The sequence below is a fragment of the Homo sapiens genome, chromosome 2 (assembly GCF_000001405.40).
Source record: "Homo sapiens chromosome 2, GRCh38.p14 Primary Assembly".
Lineage (NCBI taxonomy): Eukaryota > Metazoa > Chordata > Mammalia > Primates > Hominidae > Homo > Homo sapiens.
Window position 1 is genome coordinate 162,409,724 of NC_000002.12, and position 17,386 is coordinate 162,427,109.

Here is a 17,386-nt window from a genome sequence, read left to right on the forward strand (position 1 = left end):
ATGGTAAACTTTCAGGATACAAAATCAATGTACAAAAATCAGTAGCATTTCTATACACCGATAACACCCAAGTTCAGAGACAAATTAAGAATGCAATCTCATTTGCAATAGCCACATAAAGAATAAAATATCTAGAAATACAGCTTTCAAGGAGGTGAAAGCTGTCTACAATAAGAATTACAAAATACTGCTGGAAGAAATGAGAGACGACACAGAAAAATTGAAAAACATTTCATGCTCATGGATAGGAAGTATAAATATTGTTAAAATGACCACACGGCCCAAAGCAATGTACAGATTCAATGCCATTCCTGTCAATGTACCAAAGTCACTTTTCACAGAATTAGAAAAAATTATTCTAAAATCATATGAAACCAGAAATACTCCTGAATTGCCAAAGGAATTCGAGGCAAAAAGAACAAAGCTGGAGCCATCACACTACCCAACTTCAAACTATACTACAAGGTTACAGTAACCAAAACAATGTGGAACTGGTACAAAAACAAACATAGACTAATGGAATAGCATAGAGAAACCAGAAATAAAGCCACACACATACAGCCACCTGATTTTCAACAAAGCTGACAATAACAAACAATGAAGAAAAGATTCCTTATTCAATAAATGATGTTTGGATAACTGGCTAGCCATATGCAGAAGATTGAAACTGGACCCTTATGTTTTTCCATCAACAAAAATTAGCTCAAGATGGATTAAAGACTTAAATACAAGACCTAAAAACAATAAAAACTCTAGAAGAAAGCCTATGAAATGACATTCCAGGCCATATCATTACCAACACCTCTTCAACCTTGGCAAAAATTTATGACTAAATCCCCAAAAGCAATTGCAACCAAAACCACAATTGAGAAGTGGAACCTAATTAAATGAAAGAGATTCTGCACAGCAAAAGAAACTACCAACAGAGTAAACAGAAAACCTACAGAATGGGAGAAAATATTTGCACACTGTGCATCTGATAAAGATCCAATAACCAGAATCCATAAGGAACTTAAGCAAACCAACAAGCAAAAATCAAAGAACTCCAATAAAAAGTGGGCAAAGGACATGAACAGATACTTCTCAAAAAAAGGCATACCAGTGGCCAAGAAACATATGAAAAAATGTTTATCATCAATAATTATCAGAGAAATGCAAATCACAACTCCAATGAGATACCATCTCACACCAGTCAGAATGGCTAATATTAAAAAATCTGAAAACAATAGATATTGGTGAGGTTGTGGAGAAGAGTGAACACTTGTACACTGCGGGTGGAAAATGTAAATTAGTTAAATCACTATGGAAAGCAATGTAGAGATTTCTCAAAGAACTTAAAAGAGAACTATTCCATTCAACCCAGCAGTCCCACTGTTGGGCAAATACTCAAAGGAAATTAAATTATTCTACCAAAAGGACACATGCACTTGTATGTTTATTGCAGAACTATTCAAAGTAGCAAAGACATGAAACCAACCAATATAAGATGCCTATCAACGGTGGACTGGATAAAGAAAATGTGGCACATATATGCAATGGAATACTATGCAACCATAAAAAAGAATGAAATTATGTCCTTTGCAGCAACATGGATGCAGCTGGAAGCCATTACTCTAAACAAACTAATGCAGGAACAGGAAACCAAATACTACATGTTCTCACTTATAAGTGGCAGCTAGACATTGAATACACATGGACATAAAGATGGGAACAATAGACATTGAGGACTGCTTGAGGAGGGAGGGTGAAAAGGAAGAGTGGTAAGAAAGGGTACCACTGGGCACTATGTTCACTACCTTGGGATCATTTGTACATCAAGCCTCAGTGACACACAATTTACCTATGTAACAAACCTGCATAGGTACCCCCAAACCTAAAATAAAAGTGGAAGAAAGAAAAAATTTAAAAATAATTACAAAAATCTACGATCAAGTAGGATTCATTTCATGAGTGCAAGGATATTATAGTAGTATTAGTCTTAACACTTCTTTAATTAAATCAACTATTAAGATATTTATTAAAATAATAATTTTATTATTTTTAATTAAATTTTTAAAATTGAAATCAACTTTTTTTTCAAAATTATTTTGGAAATTCTAGTGAATCAAAAACACCCCAATAAGTAGTTGCTATTAAAAATAGAAAATGAATTTATCTCTTCTTGCTGCTGATGATTGTATGCTTAGAACATCCAATATTAAATCCTCAAGAGGACCACCTACCATTCAAACAGACCAGAACAAACCAAATTAAATCAAACTACAAAGTACTATCAGAATGAGGTCAAATTGAACCAAACCAAAAAGAAGTCCTTCAGAATTTGTTAAAGAAAAATAAATTAACCCAAAACTTGGTTACAGAGAAAACAAATTAAACCAAACAAAAACAAATTCTATCAGAATTTGCTAAATTGGCTGGATAGAAGATAAATAGTTTTATTCTTTATTATCTATAAGCAGGTAAAAATGGAAATGCTTAATATATTTTATTTGACTCACTATGCTATATAAAATTAATAAAGATATTTCACAATAAAGGTAAAACTTTTTAAGAAGAAAATGATAAAATCTTATTGAACTGGATTTTGTTTTTTAAGATATAAACCAGTGATTCTCAACTTTGTCTACGTATTAGATTTATAAAAATACTGACACAGACTTTAAGCAATTCTTATTTAACTATTATAAAAATTTCAGATGATTTTAATGTGAAGCATGGATGACAACTTAATATTTAAATACCAAAGTTATATTTAAATAAGAGTTAGAATAGACCTACAATCTGTTTTCTATATTTCCCAAGAAATAACAGAGAAGAAAAATGGCCAGCTACTGACAAACATTAGTGACCTGCTCCTGGCAAACACAGTAAGGGCACTTATTAGTGGAATAGTGCCCATTTATGGAGTATTTTTAGCAGGATGTATCTAGATAATCATCTATGACAGGCCAATCTTTCATTAATAGAACATGACTTTCTGGAAAATGTCATATAAGCTGTGTAATGTCCAGAATATAAAATGTAACTGTTTAATGACCGAAAGAGATTCTGTTTAAGTGTCGTATAATCACATATATCATTTACAGTCCTCCTGAACTCATACTAACATGGCAAGGAAGATCTCCGTGCCTATGCTCATAATTCCTAAATCCTTGAAATTATTAGTAAATCTTGATAGTGGCTATGATTTCTCACTCTTGGGAGCCATATTTAACAATCTGATCTTTGGTTTATTTCAAAAGCCTAACATGAAGTAAGTTGTAACTGAATTTAAAAAGTCATATATTTTTTATGGAAGAATAAAGGTTCTTAAATAGCCAGGAGAAATGAGCAAAATAAGATTAGTAAGTGTCCACCTACCTTACCAGATATTAAAATATTATATAAAACTGCTAAACACAAACCATTTTTTTTGTTTTTTTTAAGATGGAGTCCTGCTCTTGTCCCCCAGGGTGGAGTGCAATGGCATGATTTGGCTCACCTTAACCTCCACCTCCTGGCTTCAGGACATTCTCCTGCCTCAGCCTCCCAGATAGCTGGGATTGCAGGTGCCTGCCACCACGACCAGCTAATTTTTGTATTTTTAGTACATGGGGTTTCACCACGTTGGCCAGGCTAGTCTCGAACTCCTGACCTCAGGTGATCCACCCGCTTTGGCCTCCCAAAGTGCTGGAATTACAGGGGTGAGCCACTGTGCCCAGCCAAACCATTCTTATACTACACTGAGTGGACAAATAGAGCAGCCTTTAGAGTCTAGATATGTATCCCAATTATACCCAATGATGTAATGTGTAACACAGGTGTTATTTTAATTAAATGAAAAAAGAATGGCTTATTTAATAAATTCTACCACGACTATTTTCTATTCATGTGAAGGAAATCATTTACAAAACTAGATTTCAAACAGATTGTGGAGTTTTCTTTCTAATCATATACCAAATCGTATAAAAAAATTTAGGAAATGACTCATATATTCCAAAAGTTTAGTAGGGCCTTTTTAAAACAGGAAAGGATCTGTGAACTATAAAATAAAAGTTGACCAATTAGATAATATTAAAAAAAAACAGCAATGTTAAGGACTATTTTGTATCCAAAATAGTCCTTAAACAAACGAACATATTGAAAATATATTAGGATCATATTACAATATAAAAAGCATTAATATCTACAAAGTTCTTATAAAATAAAATAATACGGAAAAAATAATGGAAAATATGCAAAAAATGCTACGAATGGGCAATTCATAGAATAAAAAAGCCAAATAATATGTGTGTATGTATATATGAATGAATGAAAAAGGTGCTTACATTTAACAGTACTCAGAAAATGTCATTAGAGTAAAAACAAATTTTCATATATCCATTAAACTGGCAAAAATTGAAAAGAACCATAACACCCAGCGCTAGTAAAGGGAAGGGGGAAAAGTACCAACATTGTTAATAGAAATGTAAATTGTTAAGCATTTTTGGAATGTAATCTTACAATAGCTATTAAAATTAAAATTACATATAATCTTTAACTCAAAAATCCCTTATCTGAGAATCTACCCATAAATATAAAAGTATAAGTAAGGGAAAATATGTAAGTGGGTTTATTGCAGTATTGTTTGAAGTGGCATGAAATTAGAAGTCAAATGAATGCCCAGCAATGAAGCCATTAATACAAGAGAAGAAACCATTAGTATAAGTATAATATGTAGTTATATATTATTATATTATGCATTATATAGTTATAGTATATAAAATAAACTACTATGGAATGTACATGCCATTAAAAGGAATGAATTAGTTGTATTAGCCAAGTTGGAGATATTTTCACGAGATATTAAGGGAGAAACATGGACTGCACATAATTAAATGTTTTTTAGATTAAATTATGCAACTATATGTGTGTGTAAATATGTATATATGTCTGTATACATGCAAATATAAGTATAATTATATTAGCATATTAAAAGTTATGGAAGTTTACACACATAGGTAATAGATAATGGGATGAGTAAAGTATAAAAATTGAAGTATAAAAAAATCTTAAAAATGTTGCATTTTAAAAATCCCTTTCATAAAAAAGTAGAGATGTTGCAATTTTATTTAAGTAAAATTTGTGTATATGAGAAGGCAAATAACTTTTTATCTAAGGAATGCAAGTCCCTTTAAATTATGAGGCCTATAGAGGTAATGACATGTGAGAGCAGTCATGTCTTACTCCCTACCTTAAGCTAAGTAATCCACCTGCTATCCAGACTCTAGAGTCCCACCAATTGATAGAAATTGACCTAACAATGCCATATGCTGGATACCATAAATCATGCCGTATATTTAACAATGTATAGCTAATCACTAACCAATGCTATTTCTGTAAACCAATGAGAGTTCCTGACAAACAACTTTTCTAATTGCCCACTCTCCTGATTTGTCCTTTTTTTAAAAAAAAAAACAAAAAACAAAAAAACAGCAAAACAAAACCAAAAAACCTTTGAGCCTCTCCTTTGTTCTCTGGAGCATTTCCCAGTGTTTCCCAGCTGCAAGTCCTCAACCTTGGTCTAAATAAACTCTCTATATAAATTTTGCTTCAGTTTCTTTCTTTAGATTGACATATCTATGAAATGCACCAGCACAGAAGATGCTTCCCAATTTAAAAACAAATTCTTATCAGGCTATGATAAGTCTGTAAGAGAAAAAAATGTATGTATATGATATGCCACAAGTATGGTTGCAAGGTGATGTTATATTAGGGTGTTGTCTGTAAGTGAAAAGATATAAAGTACTTTTTAATCACTGTAAAACAAATTATTTTACTGTTTGATAATTTACAATGATTCTATACTTTAATTTGAAAAAAGTTAGGTCTTCCTAATGTTTCCTTTAACTTTGCTTCAGTGATTGGTTAAGATATTTTTTCTCTTTAAGAATTGCCAATATAAAACCATAAACTTATGACAACCAATCATTAATGTTTAATAACAATTTTTTTAAAAAAATTTATAAATCTCAATTCTGTATGCTAAGATGGGTGAGAATGAAAGGAAAGGGAATAAAGCAAGGTGCAGATTTAAACTTCCATTTAATGTTATTCTCATATTTAGAAAGCATGGGATATAAATGTTATGTAACCTAGTCCTTTTCTTCATTCTGACCACTGTCTACATGCTTCCACTCTGCTTTTACTCCAAGAATGTCTCCACCCATGATTTCTCTAGGCCAGCCTATATATTTTTGTTTGTCTTTTAGAAGTCCGGCTTGTAAAATTTTGCACCATGTAGCTGTTTTCCTGGCATTATACTCTCCTTTGTTCTTTAGATATCTAGTCAAAGGGAATTGCTTTATTATAATACTCTGACCTCAGTGTGGTGTTGCCTGCTATTAAATATTAAGAATAGCTCATAGGCTGGGCGTAGTGGCTCACGCCTGTAATCCCACCACTTTGGGAGTCCAAGGAGGGCGGATCACAAGGTCAGGAGTTCGTATGGTGAAACTCCGTCTCTACTAAAAATACAAAAATTAGCCCAGCATCATGGTGGGCGCCTGTAGTACCAGCTACTGGGGAGGCTGAGACAGGAGAATCGCTTGAACCCAGGAGGTGGAAGTTGCAGTGAGCTGAGATCTTGCCACTGCACTCCATCCTGAGCAACAGTGTGAGACTCCGTCTCTAGAAAAAAAAAAAAAAAAAGAATAGCTCATAGACAAAACAGATAAAATCATAGTTAGGCTCTGGGCTAAATCCCTATCTTGGAAAACACATTTTCCTAGCACTCACACCTTGCAATTCACCACACAGAATCAGATGATAGCTTGAGATGCACCTCTATGATCCAAATAAAATAATTTCGCCTTTGTGGAGAGTGAGTATTTGGCTTATTTTCCCACTATGGTAGGTTTTCCTAACCACAGACATGTTTTAGCTTTGTGTGGGTTGCACAGCATACTGATCTAAGAAGATTAACAGAAGAGAGGGAAGAATGAATGACAGCATATATGGAAATGATTCAGCATAGCTCTGGAGTGTTAAAAATGCATCATCAGAGGTGATGCCCCCTACCCAACCCAATAAAGAAAGCTCTTATGAGATGGTCCCTAAGGTGAACGTAGAGTTATGCTGGGGGTGGCTCACCTGGATAATAGGACCCCAAGATGCAAAGTAAAGGAGATTTCTTTTTAGGTATATCTGGCATGAAACGTAATGATTATGTATTTTTTCCATCCACACTCATCCACATGGATTGCAATATGTCTAAACTGAGAAAAACAATTAAAATATATCTAAATTTCTTGAGCTATTGCTGCTTTAAGGCTATATGATAATTTGGGCTAAGATGAACTACATCTGAATGTTTTCACTTTTAAAAAAACAATGATTATGAAATATGACATATTGGGTGGACCATTTTCATATCCATTTATAACATCAATCCCAGTCCACTGGATATGACTTCTACTAAAGAAAATATAGGACTTTTATTTTGGAAAAAAATATTGTGGATGCTTTGATTCCATTAGGTTTAAGAAATGCTGAGTTATTCTAGCATTTGAATGAAAAGAGACTTAAAATCATATTTCCAAAGAATCTGTTATAACTGAACTTTGATGATCTCTATTTTTTATTAATGGCTTCACCTGTGTTGATTATCAAGTGATCTGAAACTGAATTGAGTTGAATTATTCCTATGCTCCTACCAGTCCAAAGTTTTTTGAAACACATCATACCCTTCAGCATAAGAAATTCCACTCTACAGTTCTATTCAAATAGGAACATTATTTTAAGAATTTCAAAAAACAATTTGAGACATCATTTCCACTTTCTAACTACTGTAAGAGTAACATTATTAATAAATGGAGAAACTGAAGCATCAAAGTAGGTTCACCACCTCAGTGTAATGTTTCTGTAGACTTTTTGTAATATGGAAAGCTCTAGGGCATACTGTCATTATTTTTCTTGACTTAAGATGGGCTAAAGGTCAGATCCTACCACTGAAGAACTCACTTTGCATAGAAGCAGCATCATTCCAACTGTAAATAAGTCCTCCTTGATGATGGTTGGAGACCAGGATGAAGTGACCATCATCACTTGTGCAAGATGAACATGTACCATTTGTGACCTGAAAACATTAGATGCCTGTCTTAAGCTTGACATTGTTCATGTCAGCGGGCTCCAGATGGTGTTTTCTTGTTCTTTGTAATATTTTGAAGAACTGTAGGGTAAGTAGCCTTGGTGTAAAATAGGAAAGGCAAGTGAACTTTGCCTTTTAAAAGCACCTGCTGTTCAGGGGCTGGCTACAGTAGGTGATCATGAGTGATAAATTTGTGTGTTCATAGTAGTAGACTTCTTGCCAGTGTGAAATTTTAGTACATTCCCAGTTTCTGCAGAGCCAGGCAATTCCTATCAACTAATCTACATGCAGATGACAACATCTTTTCAAGTGCATTGTGCAAAACTATTATTTTAATTCAACTCCTAAATGGTAACTATGTATTTATAGAAAACCAAAAGGTGTTGCCAGTCCTGTGGGTCATTATCATTTAAATGTAGGTTTTGGCCAATCTTTATACCCCCTTTTAAATGCATGGAGGATTATCTGGATATGAGGGCATCATATTTCTGAAATTTTATTATAGCTGTATGATATACATATCAGTCTAGGTCATGGACTGTATTTATCAACTTCAGTAGATAAAAAATCATTAGAAAAAAGTAAGGGAGATGAAAGCTATACAGTGAAGGCAAGCCACGCTACTTTGCAAATTTTGCTTTTACATTTTTGATGGGGTATATTGTCACAAGAATTGTTTTCATCGGAGTTGCTGAATTGAACATAACTGAAAGAGTTCACCATTATACTTCGCTATGGTGTATCAAAACACTCCACAATCTAAATATAAAGGTCTGGCCCAGATGAAGTCTTTTAAATAAGTTTAGAGAATGAGTGTAACAAAGTTTCTGATGGAGTAGGATTAGACTGTAGGTGCAGAGATAAGCTCTGTGTTAATAGTGGAGACTGCTCTGACAGATCATAGAGAAACTAAAAGAGTTGTGAAGGTAAAGAAAGTCAAGTTTTCATTAAAATGTTCCTTGGAAGTCACATCAGCCCCAAGCAATATAAATTTATATTAAACAGCATATCATTCTTTATTATTCTCTGTTCCACTTTTGACTGGCTTTGTTCATAGGGTCCATTACAGGTCTATGCTGTGTCACTCAGCATCTCACTATGATCCTAAGATTTTTTTAGCTTATTAAGCTAACTCGATTAAAAGCTCCAAAAGCTCTCCCTGTCTTGAGCTACACTTCTATCTTGCACTTCCTCCTTTATCAGGATTCATCTAGTCTCTGCTTGACCTAGGAAACTGAACGATGCAATGGAAGTGCTATCAAGTTCCCTTTTAAACCTGCAAGCTAATACCTTCACCCCTTCTCTTTTCTTTCCTGCCTGTCTTTAAGAAAAACTTACCTATCCCCTATCCACCCAGCTGAGAGTTTATACCTCTTCCTAGGCTCTTATTCCAACTACTTTCTATGTCTGTCTCTCAAAATTTCCTCCATTAATGTCCCAGGCTAAAAAAAAAAAAAAAAAAAAAAAGCAACTATTCCCTTTTCTTACTAAAATAAATGAAAACTGTTTCTGGATTACCTGAGTTGGGGGATAGGCAGCAAATAGGTTAGAATTGCCATCCTCAAGCAGAAAAGCTCCCATAATAACGTTTCTGCACATTTAGCATATTTGAGTTCCAGTGCTTTAAAAAATATTGGAAAACAACAAATTTAATGAAATTGCAGAGAGGTTAAGTGACTTGTCCAAGAGTAGTGGCAGACTGAGAGTTAGTTTTTAGGTCTTCTGAATCCCTATTCTGCATTTTTTATATTATTTGGGCATTATTTGGTGGGGGAGGAGGTGCTATTTTCAGGTAAGGAGTAAATTCTCCATTAAATGCTCATACAGGCATTTTTTCCATGCAATTATAATATGAAATTTAGGAGTAGCCTCTGCCCTAAATAGTTTATTTCTCTTCATCCAGAAAGATATATGGACCATGGTCATTGGAGTCCTTCTTCATTCAAGCCAGGCTCCTGTGTGTGATGTGAGGCCACTTGATTCTATGCTGATATGAAAGATGATTTTCATTACTGTGGTAGTGTTGTAACTAAAACAGTGTTAGGTAACCTCAGAAAGTTTCAGAGTAGATCAGAAGACAGCTTTGATTTGGAGAAATTCATTGAGATGCTATCAGTTCTACTCTGAAAAAAAATATCTCTTCACTCCTAACTAAAAATGTTGGAGGTAGAGGGAAGACAGTTTTCCAGAATTAACTTCTGCACATCTTTCAAATACTTTTTGCTATTCCTAATATGAGATCATACTCAAAAAAACACAATCTAGGCCAGGCATGGTGGCTCTCACCTGTAATCCCAGCACTTTGGGAGGCCAAGGCGGCAGATCACTTGAGATCAGGAGGCCAAGACCATCCTGGCCAACATGGTGAAAGCCTATCTCTACTAAAAATACAAAAATTAGCCAGGCGTGGTGGCATGTGCCTCTAATCCCAGCTACTCAGGAGGCTGAGGCAGGAGAATTGCTTGAACCCAGGAGGTGGAGGTTGCAGTGAGCCTAGATGGCACTGCTGCACTCTAGGCTGGGAAATAGAGCAAGACTCCATCTCAAAAACAAAAACAAAAACAAAAACAATACAAAACAAAACAAAACACCATGATTCTTTCACTGGCTTCATTATTCTGGCCCATTTCCTTTTGTACTCTGAACCATTTGGCTCAATTAAAAGGGAGTCCATACTTGTTCCCACAGTGCTTTAAGTTTTGAAACATTCTGGCAATAGCTTTTACACAAAAAGCAAAAGATGCAGGGATTAAAGGATATGGCCACTCTTTTTAGGTCAATTATTTCTTATTTTTTGTGGTCTATCAAACAATCGAATGGTTTTGTTCGTAAAAATAATTTTAGGTCAATTAATACAGTGTGATTGAATATCTCGTACTTCATTTGGACATGGTTGAACAGTGAAAATGACCTGAAATGTTTCGTGAGAAATTATATTTAAGGTTATACGTAAAATATCATGGAATGCTGATGCGAAATACAAGTTTAATATGCTTTTATGTGTGACGATACATAAATTTGAATGATTTTAAACTGCGATTAAATTACAATTTAGTTGACAATACACAGGGATTTCAAGTGTGGTTTTGGAGGTAAAAAAAATCCATTTTGATTTTTTTTTTAAACTCTCAATAGTCTAAGGCTACAGTTGCTTTTTCTCTAATCAACTTTGTTTCATAAGTAGTGCTTAACAAGTAAGCATCTTCCATTTGCTGAGTGTTCAGAGTTATCTTGCAGTTTGCTTACTCACTTTGCAGTCACAAAATGAGAAATGTAGACACTGTACACAAACAAGAAGTCCGTGCAAAGTCAAGCTCTCAAAACCACATGCAAGACTCAGCGGCACATGGTTTAGAGCTCACACACTCCAGGACGATGTAATACAGGCATGCAGATGAGAGGAAAGAAAAGCACCTACATCATGAAAATAGAAGATAATGAAAGAGAATGACATTTTATTTATGACAATTGTCTAATGCAAACCGTATACCCATAGCCTTTACCAGAGTCGGGATAGGGGCAGAGAAGTGAATTTTTATGGGGACTGGGAAATTGTATATAAATATTGTTAGAGGTCAAGTCATTGTTAAAGTTAAGGATTTCTATTCTGTACTTGGCCTCTTCCAGGTTATCTTCCCCAGTTTCTTGCTTTGTATTTCCTCAGCTACATCATGCAAAAAAGTTCAGAACTAACACTGGAAATCATTTAACAAGCTCTAAACCTGACAGATAACAAGGGTGTTCTCCACAATTTACACGATAATTAAATTGGATATAAATACCTCCTGTTCTTACCGGTGGGTGTTGTGATTCCATTTATTAAGGTGTGAAGCAGACAGGAAAGAGATAAATCTTTCATAAGTACATTGTAAATAGGCAAGTGGTATATAAACCATATTCATAGGTAATAGAGTCAAACAATGAAAGGTAAATAGTTGTCACAAAATAGACTTTATCACAAAAAATGGTCACAAAACTAGAGTTACATGGAGGGGGGTAAAATAATTGTTTTGCTACTGTTTTTGAAATAATCTGGCAGTATGGAACAACAAAAAATGAGTGACATGTTTTGATTAAGAATTCTTGACACTGCTTCAGCCAACCCAGCAGCAGAGAGTCCCCAAAAGATTTTGAATGCTGATACCTTTGTTAAACAATAATAGTGATGGAAATATAGAAAAGTGATCTCTTTCTTGTGAGATTAAAGTGTTCTTTTGGGGGATTAATTTACAAAAGAATTTTTCACAAGGAACTTTGGAATGATTAGAAATGACTCATGGAGTTTTGTGTGAAAAGTGTTCATTTGATTAGCTCTTCAAATTAACATTTTTGTCATGGCATGTCCTTCTCAATCAAATACATCACACACAGCTATGATAAACTTATCCATATATAAATATTACTTTCAAATTGGGCAATATTTGCAGTGCTTTCTGCACCATTCCTGCTAATTTTGAACCCTTCTTTCTCCATTAGAATATTAGTGGTCAAGCAGAAAGTACCAATTTAAATTGTACAGGCTCACTTACACAAAAATTGTTTCATGCAATTGACATAATTAAATATGAGTGCTTTTATTTTCTTAGAAATTCTTAGAAACAGGGTCCTTGCCCAGTGGAGGAGTAGCCATATGGGAAGCCACCATATTTTTATTCTTTTTTTTCTGATGCTCTACGATATGTCATAGAATTTGGATTTGTTGTATAATTTATTTAGCAATCAGCCTTTAGAGCCAAATTGCAAGGTAAAAGAATGTGGGCAATTCTCCTAATAATAAAAAGAGGTCTTTGGACAACATTAATATTATTAATAGTGTTGATTTTTGAGCAGTGATACAGGAAGGGAGGTTATGACAGGTGATTGCTGATGCTGAATTTGCTTAAAAGTTGAAGGAAAAATATGAAGGGATCCATATTTCCCCTTGAAAGGAAAGACGCATTAAACCAGGTACAGTAAAAGGGCACAGCGTAGATTGTTTAAAATATAGAAAAAAAATTCTTAAAAGTGTGAAACTTCCTATCATAAAGTGCTTATGTATACTTAAGCTTCCTGACCTCTCCTATAAGTTTTCAATTTCCTGTCTTTTAAAGTGTGTTAACCTGGGATCTCTGTTTGGGGGCATCATAATTATTACTGTTTACTTGCCAAATGTTATTGCAACTGGATTCAACTATTTTTTGGGGGTGTTGGCAATGAGGCCATGCAGTAAAAACCCAAGTCCCAGCTAAAGCAATGCTCTCTCTCACCAGAAGTGGGAACTCTACTACACACAGTTATATCAGTTTGCATCATGTTATAATGCCTTTGCCACACAGTATAACTAGATATAGCACCATGCAATGCCATGAATTGAGAATGAGAGACTATCTCCAGGGGAGAAAATACACATCCGAGAGAAGAAAACAAAAGCAAGGGGTTCAAAGCTGGTGATTCCGGCTTTTATTCCATTTTGGCTATCACTATAATGCCTGCGGCACTTTCATTTTGGAAAACAGACATACATACCATGTTCATGTCAATGCCATTGGTGTAAGTCCATGCGTGCTGGAAATATTCTTCAAGACGTTGCCTCAGAGGGTTGGGGATTTGGTGAAAGCGAATGAACTCTTTTACTCGCAGCATCTGCATGTGGTACCTGGCAGTTCCCGAGTATAGTCTTTGGATAATTGCAGATACATTCCCAAAAATGCTTGCATACATTAGTGCTGGATTGGATAAAAAACAAAGTTATCGGGGAAACTGCACATAGGTGTGTTATATATTGTTAGAGTATCAAGCATGTGGATTTTGATTATCTCAATCTAGTGGGGATTTACCATTGGATCACGGGGAAAAAAAGAAGTTAAACTAAAACTGCTTTACATTTCATAATTTTAGTGATAAAGCTGGAGAGGGAAAGTATCCAAATTCATCATGGATTCTAAATGAAAGTGAAAACTCAGATTGTTTATTACATCAGCTTGTGGCTGGGAGCACTGACTAGGGAGAAAATGCATTTGAAATAAACCCTTTCACTTGAAAAAGAAGGCATCTCATGGCTCACCATAAATACATTTTCTTGAAAAAAATATGAGGCAAAAGCATCTTTTAGGGATTTAAAAACCCTTTTTGAATTGGAGTTAACACATTAGTTTTAAATTGTGACTTATTTCTGCCTTTCAGCCTCAAATCTAACCTTGTAGAATAAAAATCTATTATTAAATTTGAGATTATTTTGAATACATTAGGTTTGTTAAGGGATAGCAAATTCTTTTAAGAAACCAGTTTCCTTAGAGTGTTAATTTGTATACAGTTTTTATCCTATTCCAATTCATTTTCATAGTATTTTTGCATAAGAAACATATCTCTGGCTTAGAAAATTCACATAGCTTTATTTTTGTAGGGAAAAAATAGAACACATTTTTGTTCTTTCATCTATGGGAAGAAACCGCTATGAGATCCCTTGCAACATAATCAGCATTTAGGTAGAATATCTGTATTGGTGCTTCTTACACTAAATCTTCATGATTTAAAATAAGCTCTTTAAGCACTTTCTCTCTTGTTTATATTTGTATTTATTTCTAATAATTCTAAAAATAAATGCTATTCTCTGTACAGAAAGTCACATCACGATATATATTCTGAATATTGATCTTTGGGCATCTATCAGAAACTGAGAGATATGGTAACATATGTTTAAATCACTGGAATAGCTATATACCAGGGTGGGGAAAGCAGCAACAAGAATTTGAAGTGTTTAATTAAAGTAAATTCAAACAACACATTTTTTTCCCTCAAACAAATTTTATAAACAATTGCTTCTATAATCCACTTAATCATTTTCAAAGTAAGCTTTGGCCAGATTCTGGCCATGTTTTAAACTAATATGCTTTCCTGGGCACTTGCTTGCTTTTCCATCTTACCTTGTTTGCTTATCTTGTCATGATTGGTTATCAAGATCCTTATGTACCATAGATATCCCAAGTAAGAGAAAGTCCCAGGGAAAGCAGTGACCCCTTGTTTTTATCTATTTAAGGGGATGAAAGTTGGGGAGATGTGGTGGTTAATTTTATATCAACTTGACTGGGCCACAGTGTGCCTGGATATTTGGTTACACAAATATTCTGGGTGTGTCTGTAAGGGGTTTGCAGAGGAGATTAGCATTTGGTTCAGTAAACAAGTAAAGCAGATTGTCCTCCCCACTGTGGGTGGGCTGCATCCAACTCATTGAAGGCCTGAATAGAAGAAAAAGGGGAAGTAAAGGAGAATGAACTCTGTGCTTGACTGTCTGAGCAGGAATATCAGTCTACTCCAGCCTTTGGACTTGCGCTCCGACTCAGACTGAAAACACATCATGGGCTCTCCGTGGTCTAGACCCAGTTACTGAGTACAGATCTTGAGACTTTTCAGCCTCTATAACTGTGCGAGCCAATTTCTTCGAATAAATCTCTTTATATCTTTATCTATATTCAAACATATATGTCTATCTAGTATCTACCTATCTTTTGGTTCTGCTTCTCTGGACTTCCAGACTAATACAGGAGATCTCTAGTGAGGCTGAATTGGCATGTATGAGACATTAATTCTCTGTAAGGTAGAGCAGATGTTTAGATTGTATCTTCTACATGAAGAAAAGGTGAGCCTAAATTGTTTTTGAGTAAATGAATCATTCTTTAAAAAGAGAATTAACAATATTTGCCAGAAATTGATTGCTGTGATCCAAGGAGATTCATGTGAAAAATACGTTTTACTCATCCTAAATGTAGTGGGGAAACAATTACGTGTGATGCTATGTTTCCAAAATACCTATCATGTGCTCAGGAAGTAGATTCAGTCAGAGGGCACAAAATCAATGCTGTTTGTTTTACCTAAACCACACGTGATCAGGAAACACATGTTTTACCTAAACCATCACATGATCAAGAAAGATCAGGAAAAATTCTTATTTATTAAATAGATTTTAGCAAATTAGATGTTATTTGGATGGTAGAGTTTTATCTCTACCATCAAAATTAACCAAAATGTTAGTTTAGGTCATAAACAAGCATTTCCCACTTGCTGTCAAGATGAAACAAAATCTGGATTATAAGTACATAGTTGAATAGATAAGAGACTAATTTATGGTCAGGCGCGGTGGCTCATGCCTGTAATCCCAGCACTTTGGGAGGCTGAGGCAGGTGGATCACCTGAGCTCAGCGGTTCGAGACCAGTCTGGGCAAGATGGCAAAACCCCATCTCTACAACAAATACAAACATTAGCCAGGTATGGTGGTGTGCGCCTGTAGCACCAGCTATTCCGGAAGCTGAGGCACGAGAATTGCTTGATCCAGGGAGGCTCAGGTTGCAGTGAGCCAAGTTCACGCCACTGCACTCCAGCCTGGGTGACAGAGTGAGACCCTATCTTTAAAAAAAAAAAAAAAAAAAAAGTGACCTGAAATACTTATTTTTAGGAAATTCTGTGATTATGACTTTTAAATTATCATAAAGACATTAATCTTTTTCCTATTTTTTAGGAAGGAAATGGAGCTAGAGGTTGTAAGCTAGAGAGAAGAATAAAATACTTATGTTCTGTACATATTATTTAGTTGATGCCCAACTGGCAAAAATATCAATCAAAAGCAAGTTGACAGACTATGGATATCTAGGCATCTCTCCTTAACTCAGTATTTTTAGTTTTATAAAATAGGGAGTTCTTTTTTCATCCAAATGGTTTGCTTTAGTTTAGGTATTATAGAAATCAAACAGGGTTCTCTTAAAAATTCCTTCAGCACACCACGCCTTAATTCTGATATGCTGACCATACTAATATATTTGGTTGGTCAGAAGATATTAGCTGAAACATGTTGACAAATACACCTGCATTTCTACTACATAAATTTAAACAACTCTGTAACTTAATAAAATAAATTTTATTGATGTGTAATTTATATGTAAGATGCATCTATTTTAAGTGTATAGTTCAATTAGTTTTGACAAATGTATACACCTCTGTAAACATGATCATGATATAGAACATTTTCTTCACTCTAAAAGTCTCCTTGTGTTCTTTGGCTGCTTGTAACCACTCACTTCAGACCTTAGACAACCACCGAGCTCCTTTATGTCATTACAGATTAGTTTGCATTTTCTAGGATTTTATATAAGTGGAATTATAATGTACATATTCATTATGTACATTTGTGACTGACTTCTTTTGCTCAACATAATGTTTTTGAGAATCATTCTGTTGTGTGTATCAGTAATTTGTTTTTTTTTTAACTGCTGAATTGATGTGCATCATATGGCTATACCACAGTTTGT

General features: G+C 34.6%; 1 protein-coding gene across 6 annotated transcripts in view, besides 1 other annotated feature; it reads right to left on the reverse strand.

Moving 5' to 3' along the window:
• KCNH7 (potassium voltage-gated channel subfamily H member 7) overlaps positions 1-17,386 on the reverse strand; it is a 467,361-nt gene that overhangs the window by 38,317 nt on the left and 411,658 nt on the right. For 5 of the 6 annotated variants that reach the window (XM_017005220.3, XM_017005219.3, NM_033272.4 and 2 more), the window contains one exon: positions 13,613-13,812. In XM_017005220.3, coding sequence (XP_016860709.1) covers positions 13,613-13,812 — 200 coding nt within the window. Of the gene's footprint in view, positions 1-13,523; positions 13,813-17,386 lie in introns of those variants that run through there. The other variant, NM_173162.3, reaches the window with a different exon arrangement.
• Positions 12,762-12,931: an enhancer, noted in NCBI's record as "experimental_55244 CRE fragment used in MPRA reporter constructs". NCBI's record gives its function as "activates a minimal promoter by MPRAs in K562 erythroleukemia cells, with activity observed for both the introgressed and non-introgressed 2:163279080 variant alleles {active_cell/tissue: K562}" and the evidence as "EXISTENCE:reporter gene assay evidence [ECO:0000049][PMID:34662402]".